This window comes from Homo sapiens, chromosome 22, assembly GCF_000001405.40.
Source record: "Homo sapiens chromosome 22, GRCh38.p14 Primary Assembly".
Classification (NCBI taxonomy): Eukaryota; Metazoa; Chordata; class Mammalia; order Primates; family Hominidae; genus Homo; species Homo sapiens.
In genome coordinates this window covers 42,894,220-42,907,613 of record NC_000022.11, presented here as the reverse complement: position 1 = coordinate 42,907,613, position 13,394 = coordinate 42,894,220, and the positions used below count along the sequence as shown (strand labels likewise).

Genomic DNA, 13,394 nt, shown 5'->3' with positions numbered 1-13,394 from the left:
CACGCACGCCGACCCCAACGGACTTTTCCGTGTGATGGCCTGCCTGTGTCAGCCTTGCAGGAGCACTGTGCCCACATCCATGGGCTCCTCGGGACAGGGTGCGCATCAGCTTAATTATCACCCCACCGTGCTCACATATGGCTCCTAGAAGGTTAGTGGCCCACATTAGTTTCACTAAAGTTTCTAAAAATTACCATTAATTATTTCTTTTCACTGAACTAGTATCTGCTGAACCATGAGCAAGGATTAAGGCATCAACTCCTCAGTCTCCACCCCACTGCCAGATAGCCCATCTAGAAAAGCAGATTGGATGGCTCCCTGCCCTGCTGGGAAGCTTCAGTTTTCTGCATCACCTTCAAAATAGAAGCATACTCTTTAGCATGGCCAAGACACGAGCATGTGTTGACAGCCAGCTGGACTCCCTGGCTCTTCCTGAGAAGCTCTGCCCTGGGCTCCAGCCAAGCTGAGCCACCCCAGGCTCCCATCCACAAAGATCTGTGACCCTGCCTGGTGTGGCTTGGAGGATTCTTTCCTCCATCCAGACTTCCATCTCCTTCCTAGGGAGCTGCTCTGGGAAAGGAAGAGCCTTCCCTGACTGCTCCGGGCGGGCTTGGGCAGTCTTCCTCTGTGCTCTCCAGCATTTCCTAGGCTGTAACATGGCATTGCTCATTTCCTACTTCCAGGATGGTTGTAAGAATTACAGAGAACACCCACAAAGAGGCTAAAATTGTGTGTGGTACTTTTTTTCTCTTTTGGCAAAAACTCTTTTTCCTACCCCGATGTTACACACAAAATGTAGACATGGTGTATATTGCGTAATCTTCGTTTAAGGTTCTTATGCTTATTTTGGGGAGAGTTGTGTTTCTGATGGTATTTGGCTGTTCTGGGATTTCTGAACAGGCTGCTGCAGCCTGCTCTTCAGAGCACTGTATACCTACCTTTTTCAGGAATGAGTTATATTCATGTGAATTCCTTCTAAGCCAGTGAGAAAATAGTTTTCCTAAGATCCTGCCCTTCTTTGGTGGGTGACCCTCCCCCTGAGCTATAGTGGACATTTCCATTGTGGTTCAGATAGACTTTGTCGTCCTATGGGGCAGATCAGGGCCCTCGACGTGTGGGCTGCCTTTGTCTTGGCCATGTTTGGCTGACCCTGAATCTCGTGACTCTTCAGAATTACGTGTTTTTAAATGGGTGGTTTTCACAGTTTAGAATACACAACCTAAGCAATGCTTGGACGCTTATGAAAACAGACGTCAACATTGGACAGACTTTGACGTTGAGATTAGAGCAGAAAGCAGCCTTTGCTGCCCAATCTCTACCCAGTAATGGAGGTTTTTCTCATGATGTGATGGGTTTTAACCAAGCTGTCCTTTGTCCCCCTTGGTCAGTCAGTCAGGCTCATGCCTGGCCTGAGCTTGGGGCTGGGACACAGAGGTGAGTGTGACAGGGACAGTCCCTTGTCCTCTTGGAGCTCACAGGCCAGCAGCAGCACAAGACAGTTCCACAAGTGACTGCCATTTCCCTTGGACAGTTTTCAGCACTGCTGCCATCCCTGTCCATGGCCACTGTCCCCTAGCTTGGCAGGTGTTGCTTGGCTGGTGTTGCCAGGGCCTGGTGCCATGCACAGCACATGGGAGGGACTTACATACTTGAAGGAGTGGGTGGCGGTGGGTGGTCAGGTAGATATGACTGAAGGTCTCACAGGAGCCTCTCCTGCTGTGTTCCAGCAGCTGCAGAATTGGCCTGGTTCCCACAGGCGGCTTCCTGCTTTTAGGGCAAACAGGGCAGGGACCAGCCCTGGCCAGCACCAATCCCTTTTACCCATCCACCCACCAGGAGCACTGCAGGGAGCCAGCCGGGCAGTTTATTTTGGCTGGCTGCTGCAGGCCGTCGAATCTGTCATTTTTGTTTTCAGCTCTTTCATGCCCTTTGGTGTATGACATCTACAACATTGTCTTCGGCCTGCGTGCTCAGCCATTCCCGATACTGGGAAAAATCAAATTCCACTTTCAGTGGAGGAAAAGAAAGCAGAATTTGGGGTGCACCGTCGCAGGTCAGGCTCAGCCAGCAGTGATGGCCTGCTGCTGTTCTGTGATGGGCTGCCCAGGCCAGGGACAGCACTTGCTGGTAGTTGGGCACTGGGCCAGCGGCACCAATGAGCCTGTTGACACCCAGAGTTTATTTTGTCTGAGGTCACAGGACACCTGCATGGCAAGGCCAAGTCTAAATGACTCCCGAGCCCGAGTGGTCTCTGAGCGTCCTCTCTACACTTACCGTTTCTGCAGCCACACGCGGGAGCATCGCACACGCGGAGACAGGAAAAGGTGGATGAATGAGGTCACCTTTCCTTCTGTTGTGCAGACAGACCTGTCTTCCCCCCGTGTGAATGCCATCATTCTGAATGCAGAGAAAGAGTTCTTTGGTTTTTGCGTTGAGGGAATTTAGCACTTCGGGGTTTTGTGCTGTCAAGAAGCTTGTCTTCTGAAGATAAAATTTTTTAAATTTTTTTTGTGCATTTCTGTAGATGAAGATAAAATTTTATTTTCTTATTTGATCTCAGTGATGTCAGAATAACTTTTTAAAACTGTTTAAGAGACACATTTTTCCTTTCTATTCAGTAACAAATCTCCTTTCATTTTAGAGCCGGTGGGGTCCGTAGTGCTCATTAGACTGTGGTGGGCTTAGCTCCATGGAGACATTTGTGGATAAACGATTGTTTGAGCTGGGCACAGTGCAGGGGGGCGGAGCTGGGGTGCCCAGGCACAGAGATGGGGAGAGGAGCCCACATTCCACTAGTGGGGACTGGTAGGGTAACAGGAGTCATAAAGTAAACCAGGATTCGGGTGCAGGGGGCTAGGGCCAGGGTGGAGGTAGACTGGAGTGCAGTATGGGGGGGCTGTGGAAGCACCAAACTGGGAAGAGGAGGGAACGGAAGGAGGTGGGGAGGCTTCCTGGAAGAATTGATCCTCCAGCTTTTCCCAGCTGGCGTTTCCCCACTAGATCATCGGCTTTGGACCTTAGGGGTCGAGCCAGTTTTGGATGTCTCTCACACTCCCTGTCAGTCAGGGGGTGCCTTGGGAATTCTGCCAAAAGCCTCAGGTCTTCAGCGAGCTTAGGGACCGGGCAGGTGATCTCGCCATGGCAGCTCTTCCAGCAAGGTGATGCCTGCATCAGTGGGGGCGCCTCCCTGAGGAGTGAGGGAGAGCAAAAACGGCAGCCACATACCAAATTCCTGCCACTTGCTGGGTGCTCGGCTGAAGGCAAGTGAGCAGTGCATGTCTTCCCAGAGACCCAGGGCTCCAGGATGGGAGATGGCACACAGGGCGGCATATGCTGTGCATGTGAACGCCATGTAGGGTGTCGCGGGGCCTTCTCGACATCTGTGTAACACGCACCAAGGGAGCAGAGCATGGGGAGCCTGGCCGACGGCCTTGAGGAAGAGTTAGTTCAACACAGCTTTGCGTAAACACATCCTTTCTTTCTATGTTGTCTATCTTATGTGTTCTGCCTTTGGAGTTAGGATCTGAAAATTGCAATTTCTGGGTTTCTGTGTCATCTATTTTTTATTTTGTCATTTTGAACATTTCAGTTAAAGATTCGTAACTCAGTGTGTCTTTATGATTGTTGAAATCTGGGATTCATGCTTTTAAATGATCAAACGGCAAGGGGTGCTTTCAGGGTAGTGAGCTCCATTTTCTTCACCTTCGTACTTGAGGATACAGGTTTCAGGAACAGAGGATACGGCCAGTCAGTGTTGGGAGCAAGAACTGAAAACCCCAAGTTGAGACAGAATTGAGGCCCCGAGGAAAGGACAGGACTAGTGCTGGGTCAGAATCGAGTCTGGATTGTAGATCAGACTCAAGGCGATTCTGAATCTCTAACCCTCTTGGGCCCTGCAAGGTAAATAGCATCACCTCATTTGCAGATGGCGAGCCCCAGTGAGGTTAGGTGTTAGTCTGAGCTTGTGGTTCAAGGCAGCACCGAAGTGTGGAACTCCCAGGGCCTACATTCCAGGGCTGAGACAAGTTGGGAGCCCAGTGGTGGATGAGCTGGTGGGAAGTTTGGGGACCAGGACGAGTGGAATCCCATAGAAATGAGGATGTGGAAATTGCAGTTTGGCACCTGAAAGCAAGGCACGGACTAGATGGTTTTTCAAGGACCCCTGTTACTCTTTGGTGTTTTCAAACACACATCACAGATTTCACAACCCTAATATCAACAGTCATCCCCGTTTGGAAAGGAAGATTCAGCATAGGGGTTAGGATAGGTTGGAAGAAAGTTGCCTGAAGCTGTCACCATGGGGACATCTGGCAGGTGTGTACAGGATACAACATCTGCCAGGCACACGCACACCCTCCCCAGGGAAGGTGGGTGAGAGGTAGTGACTCTGCAGGGCACAGTCCTGAGGAGAAGGGACTCAGTCCTGGAGCCCCCTCTAGCTGCCTGGGACGTGGGTTGGCTTAGGGATAAACTAACTCAGGCCCTGGATTTCCCTGAAAGCTTTGTAGCTGCAGTGAAGGCCCGGTGAGGCCCTGCAGCTGGCTGTGCTTATGTGACTCTCTCAGGAATGCGGCAGAAGCGCCGGGAGTTGCTCTTCTGCCGGCCATGAAGTTACTGGCTGATGACGTGCTAAGAGTTGATTCCTTTTAGCTACCATGGAGAGAGCTCGTGTGACTCGCAGGATTGAGAACTGATAAATAGGCCGGGCGCGGTGGCTCACACCTGTATTCCCAACACTTTGGGAGGCTGAGGTGGGTGGATCACTTGAGGTCAGGAGTTCAAGACCAGCCTGGCCAACATGGCGAAGCCCTGTCTCTACTAAAAATACAAAAATTAGCCAGGCGTGGTGGTGCATGTCTGTAATCCCAGCTACTTGGGAGGCTGAGGCAGGAGAATCGCTTGAACCCAGGAGGCAGAGGTTGTGGTGAGCCGAGATCATGCCACTGCTGAGATGCACCACTGTCCAGCCTGGAAGACAGAGCGAGACTCCATCTCAAAAAAAAAAGAACTGACAGATAAAGGATCATGAGTTGTTTGGTTGACCATGCCTCTGAGATCTCAGCGACTTCTCAGTCCCTTCCTTTCCAGGGGGAATGGAAATCCCAGCTCCCAGCACTGTTTGGGCTCTGAGAAGATAGGGTGTCCTCTTTCTGCCTGGCATGGATGATGGAGACATATAGAGGCATAGTAGTTGCCCTCAGAACCCACTATTTTGATGCATTTTGGCATGTGACAGCACATGTCCACCAGGGGGAGGGGTAATCTGTGGGGGAAGCGTCCTGGGGCAGCAGAGCCCCCAGCTCACTCTCCGTGGGCCTCATGGCATTTTCCTCAGCTGTGAGAAAGCGGCCTTGCCTCAGAGCTGTCTTCAGCTACCGCCTCAAACATCGCTTCCTCCAGGCAGCCCTGACCACCCAGAGTGTTCCTTCTCACAATGTGTCACTGTCTCATTGCATTATTTTTCTGGCCATAAGTTCCATGAGGGACAGTCGCATGGCAGTTTGTTCACCACTATATCCCTAGGGCCTCGTGGCCCTTCACACACAGTGGATGTTCCTTAAATACCTCTCAGTGGCAAGAGAGTGTTGCCAGACGCTCAGAAATGGAGTGATGAATGCTTCAGTGGGGAGCCAGCCAGCTGGTGGCATCAGCAGACTGGAAACTGCTCCCTCTGCACCACGGAGAGGAAGGGCCAGGGGCGAGCCAGCTGGTCCGAGCTGAACCACGGAAGGAAGACGCCCTGGTGGTGCCCCTGCAGGCAAAGCCCATGGAACCAGAGTCGAATGTCTGACCCAGAGCTGGTCAGGTATGCCAGGAAGCACCAACATCGTCTTCAACCAGACACCCTGGAATCCTGAAGGCTCACCTCACCCCCCACCCTGACCCCCAGACAGGGTGAAGAAATGGCTTAGCAAGAAGTTAGGCCTTGTCAGGCGATCGCCGTGGCAGGCGGAGAGCACAGCTGGCTGGGAAGAAACCTACCGTGCAGTGTAAACCCCTCCTATCCTGGGCCATTTGGTCCTCACAGGAATAGCTCTGACTCTACCTGACAACTGAAAGGGCAGAAATATACGGAGAGGGACTTGTACAAAGTTACACATTTTGGGGCAGGGCCAGATCTGTGCTGCTCCCCTCATGAGAGCAGGTGAAGGGAAGGAGGTCTTGTTAGGGCTGGGAAATCCGATGGATTTGAACAAGTTATCGAAAGCATTTTGCCCGTCTCGTTGCCAACTGCAGACTTGGAATTAAGGAATCCCTAAAGAGTTGCCTCATCCTTGTCTGCCAGGCTGACAGAGGAGATGCTAGAGCTTCTTGGCATATTTGGTCAGCTTTGGATAAAACATTTGACTCTGGTTCCATGGGCTTGCCTGGCGAGGGGTACGCCAGGAGCTCTTCTGTAGGTCAGCTTGGGATAGCTGGCTCACCCTTGACCCTTCCTCTCCAGGGTGCAGAGGGAGCGGTTGTGGTGCTTGGGCCTTCAGGGCCACAGATTAAAGGGGAAGATCATCCTGAGGTTAAAATCAGGGTCATCCTTGGCAACCGGTCCTAGAAGTTTACAGGCTTGGGGTTCCTGGGAACTTTGTTGGCATATGGTGGGGACAGGAGCAGGGCCTGTGTGCTGCATGGAGTCTGGAATTCTGTTTGTGACTTGCTGGCGCCCACAGGGCTGGCTGGAAGCACACGCATCATCTCATGTTGACTTGGTAAGTCTCAGTTTACACCAGCTCTGATCCCGGCCTGAGGGATGTTTGGGCAGGTGGCCTCTCTTTCTGTTGCATGACCATGAGTGACTGCATCTCTTCAAACTTCAGTTTCCTTTTCTCTAAAATAGGGACACTAGGTCGGGTGCGGTGGCTCATGCCTGTAATCCCAGCACTTTGGGAGTCCAAGTTGGGAGGATTGCTTGAGCCTAGGAGTTTGAAATCAGCCCTGGCAACATAGTAAGAACCTGTCTCTACAAAAAATATAAAAAATTAGCCAGGTGTAGTGGTACATACCTGTGGTCCCAGCTACTCGGAGGCTGAGGCAGGAGGATCACTTCGGACGGGAAGGTTGCGCCTCTGTGATTGTGCCACTGCACTCCAGCCTGGGCAATACAGTGAGACCCTTCTCGCAAATAAAATAATAAAATTTAATTTAATTTTTAAAAATAGACATTAATAGTATCCCCTGGCTAGCATTCTCACAAGATTAAGTGGGGTGGCATGTAAAACTGTCAGTACCCTGCCTGGCCAAGTATGGGATGCTCTATTATGACGCCGTCGCTAGTGAAAATCACTCAGTGTGTGGCACCTTTTGGCGGGAGGCTTACAGTCTAGCTAGGGAAGTGAGGCTAATGTGCTCGAGGCAATTTTGAGACGAGCTGTGACCCGAAGGGCATGGGGACGGTGTTCACAAGGGCCATCATGGCCCCCAGCTGGACCAGATGGCAGGAGTCCTCAGATGAGTCTCCCCTGTCTGTGGGTGCAGGTGGTGTAGACTGGGTTGGTGCTCCACGCTGGTGCTCCAGCAAGGACGGGCTGCATCAGGGAAGCCTGCGTGGGGAAAAGGAGCCAAGACTTCACAGAGAGCTGAGATGGGGGCAGGTAGGAGGGGGACTCGCTCATCAATAACCGTTCCTGTCTCTATTTCTCCACCTGCAGTTGATACCTAGGCCCCCTCCCCATTTCTAATGTTACAGCTTTTGTTAGCATCTGCTCTCATAAACTTCGCACCCCTACTTCATGTGCACGTATTCTTAATTGATGTAAATGGCATCATGCCCCACATCATTCTGTTTCTGTTCTGGGTCAGTGTGTCGGCGTAGTCGCGCACATCCTTCCTCCCGCTGCACTGCTGGGCCCCGTGCTTACCTGTGCATTCCCCAGGGAGAGGCCCCCTACCTGTCCTGGGACCAAAGGGAACACTTCTATGGGAATCTAAGCCCAGAATGAAGCTGCTGGGTCATCGTAGGGCACTTGCATGCTTTATGATTTAATGACTGCCTAGTTGTGCACAGAGGCCTGCCCAGTCTGTTTCCACCAGTATATCCAGTAAAGGGTGCTGTACACCCACCTCTGCCCACACTTGGCCTTTCCCACTCTCTGGTGGTTGCCAGTCCACAGGCGTAGAGCTGCCTTGCTGTTCTCAGGCACATCCCTCTGGGCACCCACATACAGAGGTGTCTCTGTGTGCTCTGCCTGCTGTCATCCCAGCTACTCGGGAGGCCGAGGCAGGAAAATCGCTTAAACCCGGGAGGCAGAGGTTGCAAGTGAGCCGAGATGGCACCACTGCGCTTCAGCTTGGGCAACAGAGCTAGACTCCGTCTCAAAAAAAAAGAAAAAGAAAAATTTTGTTTAAGGAGCCATGCCGTAAGTCACAAAGGTATTCGCGTTCATTTTCTTCTGGTCATGTTATGGTTTTACCTCACATTTGTATGGGGTGCCTGCTGTGCGGTAGACCCTGTGGAAAGCAATGGAGAAAGAGTGGTGGATTAGGAAGACACAGGTCCACACCCTCTTAGGGCCCAGAGTCTGAAGGTATTAGGGGTTGGGAGCACCACAGAGCTTGGCATGGTCCTGTGTCTGCACAGCAGACCTTCTCCAGCGTCCTTGTGAAAGGCACCTCTGGACTGTTTACAACAGATGCATGCAGGATGGAGGAGGAGCTGACGTGGCCTCTTTGGATAGTCCCCCCAGCACGCCTGTGACAATAAGCTGCTGGGTTTCAGGTAGAGCCCCTTTCTCTGCTCCTGATTGCACGGATGTTTCTGCACAGGGATGGTTGAGATTCCAGCTGCCACCTCATCCTAGCTGACTTTAAAACTGAGGCTTGGCTGACATTGGGTTCTCAGAGGAACGATTAGAAGCCTGGCTCACTGAGAGGGAGTGAGTGCAGCCTGGAGGAGGGCAGGCGGCAGGGCGAGTCCTGGGCTCGGGGAAGGGCATGGGGAAGGGAGTGGATTCCCTGGAGGCAGAGCTTGATTGTGAGGGATGTGGCCCCCAAGGTCCATCCCTGGGAGGCAGGAGAGCGGCCTCCGGAGGACCCTAGAAAGGAGGTTCTCAGCCGGGCACAGTGGCTCACGCCTGTAATCCCAGCACTTTGGGAGGCTGAGGTGGGCAGATCACCTGAGTTCGGGAGTTTGAGACCAGCCTGACCAACATGCAGAAAACCCGTCTCTACTAAAAATACAAAATTAGCTGGGCGTGGTGGCGCATGTCTGTAATCCCAGCTACTCGTGAGGCTGAGGCAAGAGAATCGCTTGAACCAAGGAGGCAGAGGTTGTGGTGAGCCGAGATCGCACCATTGCACTCCAGCCTGGACAACAAGAGCGAAACTGTCTCAAAAAAAAAAAAAGAAAAGGAAGGAGGTTCTCTTTCCCAAGGTGGGCACAGCCTGGAGAAGGCAGGGGTGCTGTATGCAGAGAAACCTGTCTGGGAGCCAGGGATTCCCACGACCTTTGTCCCCGCATCCTCCACCTGGAGGATGGGCAGCTCCCTTTTTTGGCTCGCATGCCCTGGGTTCCACTGAGCAGCCCCATTCTCTGGAGGCTGCTCTCAATTCTTCCTTCCAGGATGTCCCCACCCCCGCCAGCCTTCTGAGCCCCACCAGTCCCCAAGCCTGACACCCTTCAGGATGCAGGCCTAGCCTTCCCAGTTTCTCAGCATCTGCCCTCCCTCATTGCCATTTGCTCCCTGTGTTCTGTGTTCCATTCCCAGCTGACTTCTCTCAGGGCCCCAGGGTTGCCATGTGGACACACCTTCCTTTTGCCAGTGCTGTTCCCTGTGCCTGGAATTATTTTCCTGGCCTCACCTTTAATCTGGCCAGCCTCCTACCTGTCCTTGAAGATGCCCTTTGGATATTGCGTTCAGGATACCTCTCACCCCCTCCTCCTAGTGCCCCAGTTCCAGTGCCCTGTGCCCAAGCACTGAGTCCCTCAGTAGGTACATGCTTGGCCCTCCGTCTGCCAGGCAGTCCCTCAGGGGAGTGAAGGGATGTCCAGGCACATGTATGCTGAGCATTTGTCTTTGGTAGCTTAGTTTCTGAGTGGAGTGAGCCTGAATTTAGAGGAAGTTAGGAACATAGCTTCATACCTGGTTCAAAAATGAGGATTTTGTGAATGAAGCAATTAATATGTTTGGAAGAAAGCATGCTTATATTCAGTTTCTACCTAAAGTTTTCTGCCATTTGGCTATCCCAAAACAACCTAATGTTTTGAAGAAGTAGAAGAGAGGTTTTTAATTACAAAACTGATAGAGCAGAAATAGTTAACTATATATGTGCTGATTTTAATGTATGATCGATTTGTCAAATATTTGAAAATTAATTTTCTTGCATTGTAAAAACTAGTCATTATTATACGTTTGATTTTTTAAAAAATATATTAAAAAGGGAACAGGCCAGGCGCTGTGGCTTATACATGTAATCCCAACACTTTGGGAGGCCAAGGTGGGAGGATCGCTTGAGCCCAGGAATTCAAGACCAGCCTAGGCAACACGGCAAAACCCTGTCTCTGCAAAAAATACAAAAATTAGCCAGGTGTGGTGGTGCGTACCTGTAGTTCCAGCTACTCTGGAGGCTGAGGTGGGAGGATCACTTGAGCCTGGGAGGTTAAGGCCACAGTGAGCCATGATTGTGGCACTGCACTCTAGCCTGGGCAACAAAGCAAGACCCTGTCTCAAAAAGAAAAAAAAGGAACAAACTTTACTCAAGAAGGCATACAGATGGCAAATAGTCATAAGAAAAGATTTTCAGTATTATTAGACTTTAGAAAGATGCAAATTAAAATCACAATGCAATATTGCTACACTAAGTAGAATGGCTAAAAATAACAAAACAGAACAAAACACCCTGGCAATACTAAGTGCTGGGAGCATGCAGGACAGGGAAGTCTCATACGTTGCTGATGGCAGTGCACAGCTGTCCAGTCACTTTGGGTAGCAGTTCGGCAGTTTTGTTAAACGTACAGTTAACATTTCCATTCCTAGGTATTCACCGAAGAGTCATGGAAGCTTATGTCCCCACAAAAGACCAATAGATGAACGTTATAGCTTCTTTATTCATAATTCCCCCAAACTGAAAATGACCCAAGCAACCTTCAGCAGGAAGAATATGGATAAACCAAAGAGTGGTATAACTACCCAATCGAATACTACTTAGCAGTAAGAAAGAGTGAACTTCTGATAGTGGTATACCTACACAGTCGAATACTACTTAGCAGTAAGAAAGAGTGAACTTCTGATAGTGGCATAACTACACAATCGAATACTACTTAGCAGTAAGAAAGAGTGACCTTCTGACGTAGATAGCAACATGGATCAGTCTCAGAAACATTATGGTGGGTGACAGAAGCCAGTCTCAAAAGCCAGGCTGCATACTGTGTATTCCATATATCCTTGCCATCCTGGAAAAGGGGCAAAAATCATGTCTGTGGTTGCTGGGGGCTGTATGGGGAGGGGATGGGCTGCAAGGGGGCACAAAGGCACTTCATGAGAGATGGAAGTGTCCTGTTCCTTGCTGTGGAGGTGGTAGACAGTGGTATATGTTTGTCCACATTCAGATCTAAGTGTACCCTGTAGTGGGCAGTTTTGCCTGTGTGTAGATTCCATCTCGACCTAGAGAAGCAGCCAGCAGTAGCTCTGCTCCTGGGACGACTGCAGTGCTTTGCCCAGGGAAGTGGAAAGGCCACATTGCTCTGTCCCTGGTGGTTTATGGCGATAGAGACTTCCAGTGATGGCCTTCACCGGCCACCACACAACCGTTTCATTAAAGGGACAGCAGGGCCGATGTTGCTGGGGTGCCTCGGTCCCAACTGTTTGGCATACTGCCCTTCTCCCGTTGGCTCTGTGCTCAGCCAACTTGCCTCTTGTCCCCAGCAGTGGTCACAGGACCAGCACAGGCTCCTCTGCAGCCTCTAGGACCAACTGGGAGCTTATTTGGAAACCTGAAATGTGTACTTACGGAAACACTCTTCCTGTATTCATCACGGATTTCCACATTTCAAGAGTTGTCATGTAAATGTGTATTTGCAGCTCCTGTGTGTGCCGATGGGTGGTACCAACATGTGACTTGTTAAGAAATATCCTTTTCTTTTCCCTAAACCTTTAACCAGTGGTTCTGAAAATCACAGAGATAAGCAGGTTTCAAGAGAGCCAAAATACATGATTTGATGGTGATTACCAATTTGAATACTGTTGGTAATAGGCAGATGAAAACCAGCTCTGGGTTGTGGCTTCATGTCGACTGTCAAGGCTAAGTTAGGGCCGTGTTACCTCAGCTCCTCCTACCACCAGCTCAACGATACTGAGTTGCTTGTTGGGTATTTTTTTCATCCTGCTGTAAATTTCAAAATGACAGTAAGGCCTCATTTTAAGGGAAGCAACCACATAATGTCACTTCCAGTGAGCTGTGAAAATGCTCACTTCCGACTTCCTCACAGGAGCTGCTCTAGTTTGGAGTGGATGCTCAGGTTCAGCTCATGTTTTGACGAGCTGCCGAGCTGCCAGCCTTGCTGGGGGAGGTCTTTGGAGGGAATGAGTAGAGCCGGAAGTCTCATCTGCCTCTGGAGAAGGCTGCCCAGGCTAACCACCTTCCAGGGGTCTTTGCTTTTCACCAGGATTCTGGTTCTCACAGGAGTGGAGTCATCTCAGCCCATGTAGCTCAGCCTCAGGGACAGCCCTTCCTCCAGGTGCTGCAGCCCCCTTCCCTCCCCTTGCCCATCTCTGTGCAGGGCCAGGCAAAGAGATTTTAGAAAAGGTAAAACTGACAAGGGGTTGACTAAGATTTTTGAAGGCATTGGGAGAAAAAGGCTGAAAAGAGATCGTTTTTCTGTCATATTTCCTCTGGGTGCTCAAGTTATCAGCGACTGTAGCCTTTCAAGCCAGCAGCTAAAAGAATGAAACATATCGAACATTTTCGTTTTCACCCCAAATTAGCCATTAACATTTCCTCAGTTACTCTTTTATTACTTATAACTTTGATGAACTAGTTTTTCTTTTCATATACGAAAAAAGGCAGTCAAAACTCAGCTTAGCCCTGACAAAGCTTTGCCATCAAGACAGTCCTACTTGGAACCCTTTGAAAAACTGCCTTTGGGCTGGGCGCGGTGCCTCACGCCTGTAATCCCAGCACTTTGGGAGGCTGATGTGGGTGGATCACAAGGTCAGGAGATTGAGACCATCCTGGCCAACATGGTGAAACCCTGTCTCCACTAAAAATACAAAAACTAGCTGGGTGTGATGGCATGCGTGCCTGTAGTCCCAGCTACTGAGGAGGCTGAGGCAGAAGAATCACTTGAACCTGGGATGCGGAGGTTGCAGTGAGCCGAGATCGTGCCACTGCACTCCAGCCTGACGACAGCGAGACTGTGTCTCAAAAAAAAAAACAATTGCCTTCAGCTCCAGCCTAGCCACTGT

At 50.6% G+C, this 13,394-nt stretch overlaps 1 protein-coding gene across 10 annotated transcripts in view, besides 4 other annotated features; it reads left to right on the top strand.

The window, feature by feature from the left end:
* PACSIN2 (protein kinase C and casein kinase substrate in neurons 2) overlaps window positions 1-13,394 on the top strand; it is a 145,384-nt gene that overhangs the window by 107,536 nt on the left and 24,454 nt on the right. The window lies entirely within an intron of this gene.
* Window positions 1,013-1,688: an enhancer, noted in NCBI's record as "H3K27ac-H3K4me1 hESC enhancer chr22:43301932-43302607 (GRCh37/hg19 assembly coordinates)". NCBI's record gives its function as "activates a minimal SCP1, AML or CMV promoter by ChIP-STARR-seq in primed H9 embryonic stem cells {active_cell/tissue: H9 hESC(primed)}" and the evidence as "EXISTENCE:reporter gene assay evidence [ECO:0000049][PMID:30033119]".
* Window positions 2,583-3,103: an enhancer, noted in NCBI's record as "H3K27ac-H3K4me1 hESC enhancer chr22:43300517-43301037 (GRCh37/hg19 assembly coordinates)". NCBI's record gives its function as "activates a minimal SCP1, AML or CMV promoter by ChIP-STARR-seq in primed H9 embryonic stem cells {active_cell/tissue: H9 hESC(primed)}" and the evidence as "EXISTENCE:reporter gene assay evidence [ECO:0000049][PMID:30033119]".
* Window positions 8,501-9,275: an enhancer, noted in NCBI's record as "H3K4me1 hESC enhancer chr22:43294345-43295119 (GRCh37/hg19 assembly coordinates)". NCBI's record gives its function as "activates a minimal SCP1, AML or CMV promoter by ChIP-STARR-seq in primed H9 embryonic stem cells {active_cell/tissue: H9 hESC(primed)}" and the evidence as "EXISTENCE:reporter gene assay evidence [ECO:0000049][PMID:30033119]".
* Window positions 9,276-10,052: an enhancer, noted in NCBI's record as "H3K4me1 hESC enhancer chr22:43293568-43294344 (GRCh37/hg19 assembly coordinates)". NCBI's record gives its function as "activates a minimal SCP1, AML or CMV promoter by ChIP-STARR-seq in primed H9 embryonic stem cells {active_cell/tissue: H9 hESC(primed)}" and the evidence as "EXISTENCE:reporter gene assay evidence [ECO:0000049][PMID:30033119]".